At 46.6% G+C, this 13927-nt stretch overlaps 1 long non-coding RNA gene across 4 annotated transcripts, besides 2 other annotated features; it reads right to left on the bottom strand.

Annotated features, from left to right (window-relative positions):
- Positions 1-3730: 3730 nt before the first annotated feature.
- On the bottom strand, positions 3731-5573 carry LINC03011 (long intergenic non-protein coding RNA 3011). Of its 4 annotated transcripts, none has more exons than NR_134573.1 (2): positions 5468-5573; positions 3731-3950 (listed from the first exon to the last, which is right to left on the bottom strand). It is a non-coding gene; the product is annotated as a long intergenic non-protein coding RNA 3011 (long non-coding RNA). The 4 variants fall into 4 exon arrangements; NR_134570.1 differs by having other exon boundaries at positions 4993-5514; NR_134571.1 differs by having other exon boundaries at positions 5180-5514.
- Positions 5675-5884: an enhancer, noted in NCBI's record as "active region_26083". NCBI's record gives its function as "activates an Ori minimal core promoter by ATAC-STARR-seq in GM12878 lymphoblastoid cells {active_cell/tissue: GM12878}" and the evidence as "EXISTENCE:reporter gene assay evidence [ECO:0000049][PMID:35858748]".
- Positions 7379-7984: an enhancer, noted in NCBI's record as "OCT4-NANOG-H3K27ac-H3K4me1 hESC enhancer chr7:65956208-65956813 (GRCh37/hg19 assembly coordinates)". NCBI's record gives its function as "activates a minimal SCP1, AML or CMV promoter by ChIP-STARR-seq in primed H9 embryonic stem cells {active_cell/tissue: H9 hESC(primed)}" and the evidence as "EXISTENCE:reporter gene assay evidence [ECO:0000049][PMID:30033119]".

Raw genomic sequence — 13927 nt, 5'->3', positions numbered from 1 at the left:
GTAGTCCCAGATACTTGGAGACTATGGTGGGAGAATCACCTGAGTCAAGGAATTCGAGGCTGCAGTGAGCTGTGACTGTGCCACTGTACTCCAGCCTGCATGACAGAGTAAGATTTTGCCTCAAAAAACATTTTTTTTGGCCGGGTGCAGTGGCTCATGCATTTTGGGAGGCCGAGGCAGGCGGATCACGAGGTCAAGAGATCAAGACCATCCTGGCCAACATGGTGAAACCCTGTCTACTAAAAATACAAAAATTAGCTGGGCATGGTGGCATGTGCCTGTAGTCCCAGCTACTCGAGAGGCTGAGGCAGGAGAATCGCTTGAACCCAGGAGGCGGAGGTGGCAGTGAGCCGAGATCACACCACTGCACTCCAGCTCAAAAAAAAAAATTTTTTTTTTTAATTAACAAGTTCTAGTATCTAAAATGAGCAAAATCGTCACGTGTGGTGGATCACACCTGTAATCCCAGCACTTTGGGATGCCAAGGCACGTGGATCATCTGAGGTCAGGAGTTCAAGACCAGGCTGCAGTGAGTCAAGATTGCACCACTGCACTCCAGCCGGGGAGACAGAGTGAGACTCCATCTCAAAAAAAAAAAAAAAAAAAAAGAAAAAAAAAAAAGTAAATATGCGTTTGAAAAGAACAGCATCAGCCAAGTACAGTGGCTCACGCCTGTAATCCCAGCACTTTGGGAGGCCAAGGGTGGAGGATAGCTGAGCCCAGGAGTTTGAGACCACCCTGGGCAACATGGTGAAACCCTGTCTCTACAAAAAATACAAAAATTAGCCAACTGTGGTAGCACAACCTGTAGTCTCAGCTACTTAGGAGGCTGGGGGAAGGATTGCTTGAGTCTGGGAGGTCGAGGCTGCAGTGAGCCATGATTGCGCCACCTCACTCCAGCCTGGGCAACAGAGCAAGAACCTCTCTCAAAAAAGAAAAAAAAAACATGCAAAAAGAAAACAAAACAGAACAGCATCATTTCCTTATCATTAGTTTGAAGGAAGGGAATCACTGGTAAAAGTTTCCATTTTCTTTTTTTTGAGATGGAGTCTCACTCTGTTGCCCAGGCTGGAGTGCAGTGGCATGATCTTGGCTCACTGCAAGCTCCACCTCCCGGGTTCACACCATTCTCCTGCCTCAGCCTCCCAAGTAGCTGGGACTACAGGCACCCGCCACCATGCCTGGCCAATTTTTTGTATTTTTTAGTAGAGATGGGGTTTCACCATGTTAGCCAGGATGGTCTCAATCTCCTGACCTCGTGATCCGCCCGCCTCAGCCTCCCAAAGTGCTGGGATTACAGGTGAGAGTCACTGTGCCTGGCCAAAAGTTTTCATTTTCAAAAAAAGCATTAAAATGTAGTGTGAGGCCAGGCATGATGGCACATTCCTGTAATCCCAGCACTTCCGGAAGCTGAAATGGATAGCCTGAGCCCAGGAGGTTAAGGCTGCAGTGAGCAGTGTTTGTGTCGCTGCACACCAGCAGCCTGGGCAACAGAAGAAGAGCCTGTCTCAAAACAACAAAACATGGTTTACCACAACCAACAGGAAAATTCTGGATAAAGCTATGTATGAAATATTTACTGCTCTGCTCAACAAGGTAGTGCAGAGGTCAAGGGCAAAAGTCCTGGGGTCAGGTCACCTAGTCTGCTGTCTAATTAGCTGTGTCATCTTTGGAAAGGTACTTGAACTCTCTGTGCCTTATAATTCATTTTCTAAAATGTGGGCAGGGCGTGGTGGCTCATGCTTGTAATCCCAGCACTTTGGGAGGCCAAGGCGGGTGAATCATCTGAGGCCAGGAGTTCGAGACCAGCCTGGTAAACAAGGTGAAACGTGGTCTCTATTAAAAACACAAAAATTAGCTGGGTGTGGTAGTGGGCACCTGTAATCCCAGCTACTGGGGAGGCTGAGGTTGGAGAATTGCTTGAACCCAGGAGGCAGAGGTTGCAGTGAGCCGAGATCATGCCACTGCACTCCAGCCTGGATGACAGAACAAGACTCTGTCTCAAAAACAAACAAACAAAAAGTGGATAGCAGTATCTACCTCGAAGAATTGTTATGGGATTGACAGTGCAGAGAACCTAGCAACTATAAAATAAAAAAAAGTTTCAGGACCCTCTATAAATTTATCATGCCAGGAGGGAAGTTACACCCTGACCGAGTCACATAGCATGTTTGCAACTTCTGCTTCTGTTTTTTTTTTGAGACGGAGTCTCGCTCTGTCGCCCGGGTCAGAGTGCAGTGGCAGGATCTCAGCTCACTGCAAGCTCCACCTCCCGGGTTCACGCCATTCTCCTGCCTCAGCCTCCCAAGTAGCTGGGACTACAGGTGCCCGCCACCAAGCCCAGCAAATTTTTTGTGTTTTTAGTAGAGACGGGGTTTCACTGTGTTAGCCAGGCTGGTCTCGATCTCCTGACCTCATGATCCACCTGCCTCAGCCTCCCAAAGTGCTGGGATTACAGGTGTGAGCCACCGCGCCCGGCCACTTCTGCTTCTTAAATTATAATTTATTCCTTCCTTATTATTTTCATTCGGTAAATGACTATGAGAGACCAGAGACTAGTCCTACTCTCCTTCCAATCACTCATCTTTATTACACATTAACTGCCTCCTTTATTGTTCTGTACCTCACACCAGATGGCACAAAAGACCCCATGACTTACATCTTCAGTGTAGAAGGTAAAATACACCTTTCCCGGAAAAAAGACCACCTAGTCTGGGCGCCGTCACTCATGCCTGTAATCCCGGTACTTTGGGAGGCTGAGGTGAGTGGACTGCTTAAGCCCAGGAATTTGAGACTGGCCTGGGCAATGTGGTGAAACCCTGTCTCTACAAAAAATACAAAAATTAGTCAGGTGTGTTGGTGCACGCCTGTAGTCCCAGCTACTAGGGATGCTGAGGTGGGAGGATCACTTGAGCCAGGAGGCTGAGGCTGTAATGAGTTGCGATTGCACCACTGCACTCAGCCTGGGTGACAGAGTCAAAGAAAGACCACCTGAACCAATCAGATTGTTTTAACTACGTATTAAGCCTTAAACGGAGAGATGCTGAAATTCTGCTAAACTTCCCTAAACTTTGTCTATGCAAGTGATCCCAAACTTCTAAGCCTTGGAACACTGTCTTCCACCCTTGGGTACCTGCGCTTCCCAGGTGGCTCTCCTTAAACTCTGTGCATGAATAAACTCCCTTTAGATTCTGACCCTTTTGATTATTTGAGGTTGACACACTGTGCAATATACATCACAATACCAAATATTAACCTTCAGAGTAGTCTGTGACATTTAGGTAGAAGTCTTTTTTTTAGATGGAGTCTTGCTTTGTTGCCCAGGCTGTAGCGCAGTGGCATGATCTTGGCTCACCGCAACATTGGCCTCACAGGTTCAAGCGATTCTCCTGCCTCAGCCTCCCAAGTAGCTGGGACTAAAGGCGCCCACCACCACGCCCATCTAATTTTTGTATTTTTAGTAGAGATGGGGTTTTGCCATGTTTGCCAGGCTGGTCTCGAACTTCTGACTCCAGGCGATCGACCACCTAGGTCTCCCAAAGTGCTGGGATTACAGACATAAGCTACCGTGCCCTGCCAACATTTAGGTAGAAATCTTACACATATTCCTATCTTTGTTCTCTCCCCACTTACATTTCTGACCTCTTCTTTACAGCTAAGAACAAATCATTTGTGGACTTGAAAAGAGTTATCATAGTAACTGAAAAAAAAACCCCAAAAACCAGAAGAGTTAAAATGCCATTCTTGCTGCTCTTTTAATTAATCAACCCTAAAAAGGCTAACTCACTTGGACACTACTTAATTAACAATCAATTAGTAAGGAAAAGATATTGAAGCAGTAAACTTAAGTGGCGGCGAAAAGTTCTGTTGACCAAACATGGATTCTCTCCTCCTAGAACCAAGTTACAGTTGGAGTTACAGAAAATACTTTGAACAGGTCCTTCGGCATCCTGTAGGAAATCAGACAAAAACACAGATCAGTTACTTTCTCTTTTTTCTTTTTTTGACACAGTGTCTCACTCTGTCGACCAGGCTGGAGTGCAGTGGCGAGATCACCGCTCACTGCAGCCTCCACCTCCTGGGCTCAAGCGATCCTCCCGCCTCAGCCCCGCAAGCAGAGGGGACTACAAGCCCGTGCCACCATGCCCAGCTAATTTTTTGTGTGTGTGTGTGATGGAGTCTCGCTCTGTGGCCCAGGCTGGAGTGCAGTGGAGCGATCTCCGCTCACTGCAAGCTCCGCCTCCCGGGTTCACACCACTCTCCTGCCTCAGCCTCCTGAGTAGCTGGGACTACAGGCGCCCACCACGACGCCCAGATAATTTTTTGTATTTTTGTAGAGACCGAATTTCACCATGTTGCCCAAGCTAGTCTGGAACGCCTGAGCTCAAGGGATCCGCCCACCTAGGCCTCCCAAAGTGCTGGGATTACGGGTGTGAGCCACTGGGCCGGCCCAATAACTTTCTTCAGTCTGAGCATGAGCACTGGAAGAAAAGCTCTCACTTGCATATATTTTTTTTTTAGAGACAGGGTCTCCCTCTGTCACCCAGGCTGAAGTGCAGTGGTGTAATCTCGGCTCACAGTAACCTCAACCTCCCGGGCTCCATCGCATATATATATATATATATACACACACATATATATAGTTTTTTATTTTTTAGACGGAGTCTTGGTCTGTCGCCCAGGCTAGAGTGCAGTGGCACGATCTCGGCTAACTGCAGCCTCTGCCTCCCGGGTTCAAGCAATTGTCTGCCTCTGCCTCAACCTCCCGAATAGCTGGTATTACATGTGCCCGCCACCACGCCCGGCTAATTTTTGCATTTTTAGTAGAGACGGGATTCACCATGCTGGCCAGGATGGTCTTGAATTCCCGACCTCGTGATCCACCTGTCTCGGCCTCCCAAAGTGCTGGGATTACAGGCGTGAGCCACCGCGCCCGGCCCGATCGCTTATATTTTTAAAAAGATGTTTTCTTGGTTTCCTAGCCCCTCGTACCCCCTACAAAGTTCCAAAGGCTTTGATGTTGTTGCAACGGCCATCAGAGGTCAAGCCGAGGGGTGCAGCTCCCTAATGCGGTGCAGCCTCAGACGGGGCCGATCCTGCCCAGGATGAGCGGCGCCAGGGGTGGGGGACGCTGCCGGCGTCCCCGGGACCTGGCTGGGGGAGGAGTTGGGGGGCGCACCTACACAGGCTCAGGTGACGCGAGTGTGCGGCAAGGGCTGTAGCCGGAGCTAGCGGACTTGTGGCCACTGAGGAGCTTCTGCCTGAACGTGCCCTCCAGGCGACAGCCGCTTGGTGCGCAGCGCCTGCTCGCTAAGCGTCAGGCCCTTGCTGCGCCCTACGCCGCAGGCTGGGAAGTAGCGCAGGCAGTAGTAGTACAGGCAGCGGTAAAGCTCCTCCTTGTAGCTTATTGGTGTCGGCGGCCTGGTCTGGGCCTGCGGACCCTAACCCACCGCCTGCTGACACTGACCGGCAGTCTGTGGCCATGCGTCTGCGCATGCGCTCTCCTGGAATACCCAGCCGCTGCGCCTCGAGTTCCGATTGGTTCTACAGAAGGGGCGGGCCTGTGAGATATCACAGGGGCGCGCCTCAGCTGACGTCACAGGCGCGGGCCTTCCGGCGTCGTAATAGCGCCGGCCTTCGGCGACGTCACAGTGGCGCTACAGTGCCTGGAGCTGCGCTGGTTTTTCCTCGGAGTGGAGCCTGGTAACCGCGACTTCCCCGCCATGTTCTGTGTGTTGCTGGCTGGAGAAGGGTGGTTGACAAACTCCGACCCAGCACAGTGTTTCTGTGGGTCAAAACTAGAAAACTATGTCCAGGCTCGGCCGAGGCGGAAGGATCCGTTCAGGCCAGGAGTTAAAGAGCTGCCTGGGCAACATGGCGCGACCCCATCTCTGTAGTCCCACCTCAGCTTCCCAGATACTTGAACCCCAAGGTTCAAGGCTGCAATGAGCTATGATCCCATCACAGCACTCCATCCTGCGAGACGGAGGTAAACCTTGTCTAAAAAAATAAACTATCCAAGTGTACAACAGGGAGGGACTGCTTAAAGAAAACATGATAATTGTATGTTCAAATACTTTTAACAAGTGCAAAATGTATAGGCTGAAATAAATAGGGCTGGCCGGGCACGTTGGCTCACGCCTGTAAATTCCAACATTTTGTGTGCTCGAGGCATTCCGATCAGTAGACATGGGTGAAACCCCATGTCTACTAAAAATATAAAAATTAGGCCAGGAACTTTGCATCGTTTTAGGGGGCTCGCATCTCCCTAAGGGCCCGGTAATTGAACCCCTTGGACCTGAGGGTGAGAAACCTTGGCTCAGTTCTTCCCAGGGTGATCAGCCCAGGGGTAAGCGAGGAGAGACCAGAAAACAGGACCCATGAGAAGGTCCCCCTCCTGGAGTTTGAGGCCCATTCCTTCTTGTCCCTGCGTCTCCTCTTTCCAGGACTCCTCCCTGCTCTGCCCCACTCCTGGGAGTGGGGTCATGGCCATGGGGGGCTGCTTTTGGGTACAGGCCCCAGCGGCAACCCTGGGCCCAAAGTGGGCAGGCTCACCTGGAGGGGATCAGAGTCACATGGCAAGACGCAAGGGGAAAAGCCGCGCTGGAACCGCACCTCTCTGCCCCCTGATGTCAGTGGGTGCACTCTTCCCTCACCTCACTCAGGCAGCGGCTTGAGTTCCATGGGAGCACTGTCCTGCTCCCTCTGCTGCCTCTTTTTAGTCTTGGGGCTACTATAACACTTTCCCTTCCCCAGCCCTGCCAACCTGGTGGGACATTGGGCTTCCCTCTTCCTGGGGACAGGCGGGTCCTGGGGACAAGCCTGTCCTGTATCATACCTGCAGCGAGACTCTTTTTTTCTCCAGGACCTGCGGAGCAGCCAGGCTTCATGAGTTAAATGCAGATCTGAACCATACCCAGTTGGGATTGGGGTACACACTCTACTCCTCTGAAAACTAGCTAGGGGTTCGAACTTGGTGAGAGGGAGAGTGGGACAGAGCCAGACCAGACAAGGACTGATCACCTGGAAAAACCTGCCATCAAAGACCTTGACGAGTGCTGGGGGCGGTGGCTCATGCCTGTAATCCCAACACTTTGGGAGGCTGAGACAGGTGGATCACTTGAGGCCAGGAGTTCGAGTCCCGCCTGGGCAACATGGCAAAACCCTGTCTCTACTAAAAATACAAAAATTAGCTAGGTATGCTATGCTCCTGTAATCCCAGCTACTCGGGAGGTTGAGGCAGGAGAATCGTTTGAACTGGGGAGGTAGAGGTTGCAGTGAGCTGAGATTGTGTCACTGCCCTCCAGCCTGGGTGACAGAGTGAGACTCCGTCTCAAAAAAAAAAAAAAAACCCACCTGAAGAAGGTTTCCAGTTCTGCCAGCAGTCCCCCATCCAACCCCCAGAAGCAGACATTCCTTTGCTGTGGGCCATGGACAGGCAGAAGGAAGCGCCTCCTCATGGCAGAGGCCTACCCAGGAGAAACCCAAGGGAAGGCACTGCCTGGCCAGCCCCTCTGCCAAAGCCATTTTCTTTTTTCCTTTTTTTTTTTTTTTTTTTTTGAGACACAGTTTCACTCTGTCTCCCAGACTGGAGTGCAGTGGCATGATCTTGGCTCACTTCAACCTTCACCCCCTCCCCCGCCCCCTGCCGGGTTCAAGTGATTCCCATGTTTCAGCTTCCTGAGTAGCTGAGATTGCAGGCATGCGCCACCACACCTGTCTAATTTTTGTAGAGACGGGGTTTCACCATGTTGGCCAGGCTGGTCTGGAACTCCTGACTTGAAGTAATCTGCCCACCTCGGCTTCCCAAAGTGCTGGGATTACAGGCGTGAGCCACTGCGCCTGGCCCCTTCAGGTGGGTATTGAGGCTTCACTACAATACTAGTTCCCCGTTGCTGCCGCAATAAATTACCACACACTTAGTGGCTTAAAACAGCATAGAGGTATTCCTTTACATTTCTGAAGGCCAGAATTCTAAAGTCAGTCCCACTGAGTCAAGGTGGGAGCAGGGTCAGTGCCTTTCCAGGCTCTGCGGGAGAATCCGTTTCCTGGCCCTGGAGGCGGCCTGTACTCCTCAGCTTGTGCTGCCCTTCTCGAATGACTCGCGTTTCCTGCTTTCATCACTACACCTCCCACCGCTCTCCATCACCTGCTCTGCTCTTATAAGGATCCAGGTGAGTACATAAACCCTGTGGGGACAAGCTGGCCAAAGACTCTTAACTTCATTATACTTGCAAAGCCCCTTTTGCCATATAAGGTCATGTTCACTGGTTCCAGGGATTATGATGTGGGCATCTTGGGGGCATCAGCCTACTACAGCTAGGCTGCAAAACTATTACACCCTCCTGGTGTTTCAATGATTGGGAGAAAAAGGGTTGGGATTTTTTGCTTTGGGGTCCCTGTTAAACTTGTATCTGTAAGGTCTGGGGTCTCTCTTAACCTGGTGTTTTTGTTTTTGTTTTTTGAGACGGAGTATTGCTCTGTCATCCAGGCTGGCAGTGGCACCGTCTCGGCCCACTGTAACATCTGCCTCCTGGGTTCAAGCAATTCTGCCTCAGCCTCCCAAGTAGCTGGGACTGCAGCTGTCTGCCACCACACCTGGCTAACTTTTGTATTTTTGGTGGAGACGGGGATGGGACTGGGGGGTCGGGGAGGGGAGGGGGGGTTTCTGCTGTGTTGACCTTAGCTCAAAGGATCTGCCCTGCCTCTGCTTCCAAAGGGCTAGGATTACAGGCCTGCACCACCACCACTGTAAAATCTTATTTCCACACAGCTGAGACATGTTTTAGGAAGTTTGCTAAAAGACCCCTGGAGACCTCATTGTGGCCTCCCTGCTGTTGTGTTTAATTTGATTGATCTTCTCTGCCCTTCTGCTTTTCAGAATTAAAAGACTAAAAAGAGGTACTAAACTTTAAAACTTCTCTTATAGTCTCCCTTTAAAGTAATTCTAAGAACCACCAAAAAGGGGAAAAATTTTTTCAAAAGCAGTAAAATGATATGATCTGTTAGGATGTAAAATATAGAAAATAAGTCATTATATGTTATTGCTGCTTTGACATAGGGATGTATTGAGAATCAACTTTTGGTCAATTTTCAGAGAAATGGAATAATCTTATTGCTGATCTATGTAAACAAGTTGAAGAATTGTCTGAAAGAAAATACAGTGTGTCTAAACTGGAAAAGTCCTGTAATAGTTTGTTCATGAGCATTTACACAGTGGAGTTACTGTTCATCATGGGGGTACTGTGGACAAGCCCAGGGCTGCTGGTGAGTCACGCCATCCTTACACGTCTCTCCTTGTAAGGTACTTTGTAGTGTCTGTCTAAATATTAGAAACATTCTTTGTTTCTAGATTACTAGAAAGCTAAGGAAAAGTTGTATTTCTCTAATTATCAATTAGCATTTCTTTTAAACTTTCAGCATAATATTTGGGATTTATTTACATGCTTATTGCAAATCCCTGGATCTTAGGGATTTAATTGAACATATATATATATATATATATATATATATATATATTTTTTTTTTTTTTTTTTTTTTTTTTTTTTGAGATGGAGTCTCACTCTGTCGCCGAGGCTGGAGTGCAGTGGTGTGATCTCAGCTCACCGCAACCTCCGTCTGCCAGGTTCAAGCAATTCTCTGCCTCAGCCTACTGAGCAGGTGGGATTACAGGTGCCCACCACCACGCCCCACTAATTTTGTATTTTTAGGTGAGATGGGGTTTCACGATCTTGGCCAGGCTGGTCTTGAACTCTGGACCTTGTGATCCACCCACCTTGGCCTCCCAAAGTGCTGGGATTATAGGCGTGAGCCAACTCACCAGGCCATTTTTTATTTTTTTAAACTAATTGTTTCTCTCAATCTGCTTTGTTAAATTTGTTATTTGGCCAGGCATGGTGGCTCATGCCTGTGATCCCAGCACTGTGGGAGGCCGAGGCAGGCGGATCACCTGAGATGGGAGTTCGAGACCAAACTAACCAACATGGAGAAACTCTTTCTCTACTAAAAACACAAAATTATCCGGGTGTGGTGGCGCATGCCTGTAGTCCCAGCTACGCAGGAGGCCAAGGCAGGAGAATTGCTTGAACCTGGGAGGTGGCGGTTGTGGTGAGCCAAGATCACACCATTGCACTCTTAGTCTGGGCAACAAGAGCAAAATTCTGTCTAAAAAAAAAAAATTCGATATTCATCAAGATGCCCCTATTGTCTCTACTTTTTATCTTGATGCATTGCCGAGTTGACGTTAGATTTCAAATTCTTCTTTGCCCTTATACTGTTCTATCCTAAAGCCACCTTTATATAATGATGAAAGAAATTAGCAATTTGTTGTTATCTCTTTGATGGTATATAGCAAATGCTTACCTAAAAATAGCAACAACCTGCGAAAAACATCATGTGTTTTGCCGTTTTTATTTGAATGACTATTTACTTTGCAGTCTACTAGCAAGCTATAGAATTGTGTGATACGCAGAATTTTAACTGAAGTGCTTTAAGTGAACATTTAAACATGATAAACCATATTAATGGTGTTTATGTTAATATACTTGAAGTGAACATTTTCTCTTCATCATGAGTAATATAACGTACCCCTCAATGAAAGTCTAGAATTAGAGTAAATTTGCTAATTAATTAATAACTTTTCCATAATATTTTTAGTTATGTGCTTAAGGCTCTTTTAGTGTTTCTCCTACTTTTTAATAGCTTATGCCTTTTTTGCCTTTGTTTTTTATTGGTTCATTTTAAAGCAAAAACCTCATAACGTGTTATTTGGAAGCACTGTAACCTAGTGGTGAGATCATAGGCTCTGGGGACACAGCCTGGCCACATCTCTTCTCCTTCTGAGCCTTAGTATCCTCTTTTGTGTTCATGAGAACTGAAGATTTATCCCAAAGATTTGATAAGATAGTAAAGTGCTTCACATAATACCAGGCATATAAATACATAGTAAATGCTTCCTTCTTATGTTTTTATTGGTTGATTGATTGATTGATTGAGACAGAATCTTGCTCTGTCACCCAGGCTGGAGTGCAGTGGCACTATCTCAGCTCACTACAACCTCTGCCTCCCTGGTTCGAGAAATTCTGCTGCCTCAGCCTCCCAGGTAGCTGTGATTACAGGCGTACATCACTATGCCCAGCTAATACCAGCTAATTTTTGTATTTTTAGTAGAGACAAGAGTTTTTCCATGTAGGCCCGGCTGGCCTCGAACTCCTGACCTCAAGTGATCCACCTGCCTCCCAAAGTGGGATTACAGATGTGAGCCACCATTATGTTTTTATTATATTGTTAATTTAGTACTATTCTGAGTAAAAATAATTTGCTATTACAGTCTTATAAATTGACTATGACAATTTTATAAATGTCAATGCTTTTTGTAAGGTGAAACATTAATGTTGTGGGGCTTTTGTTGTGATGGTGATTTATTAGATTATTTTGTTTAAAGACAATAATGTTCAGCTGTTGTGAAATTACAAAAACAATCTTCACATTTCATAATTTTAAAGCAATATTAATGGTAATTACCTTAGAGAAAGATAGTTTTGTTGTGATATATAAGTATGATACTGAAGTTTAGTGTACAGCAAAGGATATTAAACCTAAGTCAGCACTAATGTGTTATATAGTACACTTGAAACTTTAGTATAGATATCGATGTTTAGCAAATAGACATTGACACATAATGATAGCAAAAAATGGAGCTGTTCTGATGGAAGACCGTTGATTATGTTTGATTTTAATACTTCCCATGCTCTTGACCTTTTTTTTTTTTTCTTTGAGAGAGAGTCTTGCTCTGTCACCCAGGCTGGAGTGCAGTGGCACCATCTCAGCTCACTGCAACCTCCACCTCTCAGGTTCAAGCGATCCTTTCACCTCAGCCTCCCCAGTAGCTGGAACTACAGGCGAGTGCCACCTTGCCTGGCTAATTTTTGTATTTTTAGTACATATGGGGTTTCACCATGTTGGCCAGGCTGGTCTCAAACTGCTGACCTCAGGTGATCAACCTGCCTTGGCCTCGCAAAGTGCTGGGGTTACAGGCATGAGCCACCACACCTGGTCAGCTCTTGACTCTTTATAGCTGTTGTATTATTTTAATCTTGAGTAAATAAATGCTCGCTGAAATGTTGCAGTTCATGAGAATCTTCTTCTGTTATTTAAAAAATTATTTGTAAAAGTCCAATAAGGTTACACTAATGTTTATGTTTTGAAAATATTACCTCTTCCATTTAGTACTATATGTATTAAATAAAAGTAGACAGTTTTTTTTTTTTTGGCTTTATAATGTGGTTCAGATTTTTTTAGAAAGTCTGGCTGTGTCTACATTGCCTTAAAGCAATAGGATATTTCTCTTTATTTATTTATTTGTTTGTTTTTTTTGAGCTAGAGTTTCGCTCCTGTTACCCATGGTGGAGTGCGGTGGTGTGATCTCGGCTCACTGCAACATCTGCCTCCCAGATTCAAGCAATTCTCCTAGCTCAGCCTCCTGAGTAGCTGTGATTACAGGCACCCACCACCATACCCTCCTAATTTTTGTATTTTTAGTAGAGTTGGGGTTTCACCATGTTGGCCAGGTGGGTCTTGAACTCCTGACCTCAGGTGATCCTCCCGCTTCAGCCTCCCAAAATGCTGGGATTACAGGCATGAACCACCTTGTCCCGCCAGGAATGTTTTTTAAGAAGGCTATCTACTTACAGAATTCCTGGCCTTGAGAGGATATTACTTGGAAAGGAAAGGATTTGTTTTGTGATTAAAAAGTAAGACTCTTGGATTCTTGTTGGACTCTTATCTCTGTTCTGAGTAATATATCTTTGTTATTGTTGACAAATAATCATTCCCCATTAGGGTTATATTTAATTAAGTTTGAGTTATTTTATGTTTTTTGTTGTTGTTGTTGTTGTTTTGAGATGGAGTGTTGCTCTGTCGCCCAGGCTGGAGGGCAGTGGCATGATCTCGGCTCATTGCAACCTCCACCTCCCAGCTTTAAGCAATTCTCCTGCCTCAGCCTCCCGAGTAGCTGGGAGTACAGGTGTCCACCAACATGCCCCGCTGATTTTTGCATTTTTAGTAGAGACGGGGATTTACCATTATTGGCCAGGCTGGTCTTGAACTCCTGAGCTTGTGATCTGCCCGCCTTGGACTCCCAAAGTGCTGGGATTACAGACTTGAGCCACCACGTCCGTCCTATTATATGTATTTTTATGTATCACTTTTTAATTTATTTGGGTCCAACATTGAGTCAGTCATGCCAGTGTTAGCTTTTGAAACATGAACACTGCCCGCACCTGACTGGCATGCAACTGACATTTTCTTTCACAATTTTCTGCTACTTTTGCTAAAAATAATAATATCCATGTCTTGCTTTTAGGCCTAAGATTTTTATAGCATATGTGGGAATATATGATTGTTTTTCTAGATGTGTAGAGGAAGATAGTCTTGAATGCAGTGTGATATTAAAGGATCCCATTTAAGATTTTTGTAATATGCTTCAAAGACCTGTGGGTTGCAAAGTTACCACTTTTGAGGGCACATGCTCCATGAAGCACCTTATGTGACAATTTACAATTATTGTTTTGTTTTGTCACTCTGTAGAAACCTCAAATGAAGGTGTAGTTGGGCTCAAGCATCCAGATTATCTTTTCTCTTCTTATTTTTTCTTCTTTTCCCAAGATGGAGTCTTGCTCTGTCACCCAGGTTGGAGTGCAGTGGCATGACCTTGGCTCACTGCAACCTCCGCCTCCTGGGTTCAAGCAATTCTCTTGTTTCAGCCTCCCGAGTAGTTGGGATTACAGGCACCTGCCACCACACACGGCTAATTTTTGTATTTTTAGTAGAGAGAGTGTTTCATCATGTCGGCCAGGCTGGTCTAGAACTCCTGATTTTGTGATCTGCCAGTCTCGGCCTCCCAAAGTGCTGGGATTACAGGTGTGAG

This window comes from Homo sapiens, chromosome 7 (assembly GCF_000001405.40).
Source record: "Homo sapiens chromosome 7, GRCh38.p14 Primary Assembly".
In the NCBI taxonomy this organism is placed as follows: Eukaryota; Metazoa; Chordata; class Mammalia; order Primates; family Hominidae; genus Homo; species Homo sapiens.
The sequence above is the reverse complement of the archived record's forward strand: the minus strand, read 5'-3'. Positions and strand labels throughout refer to the sequence as shown.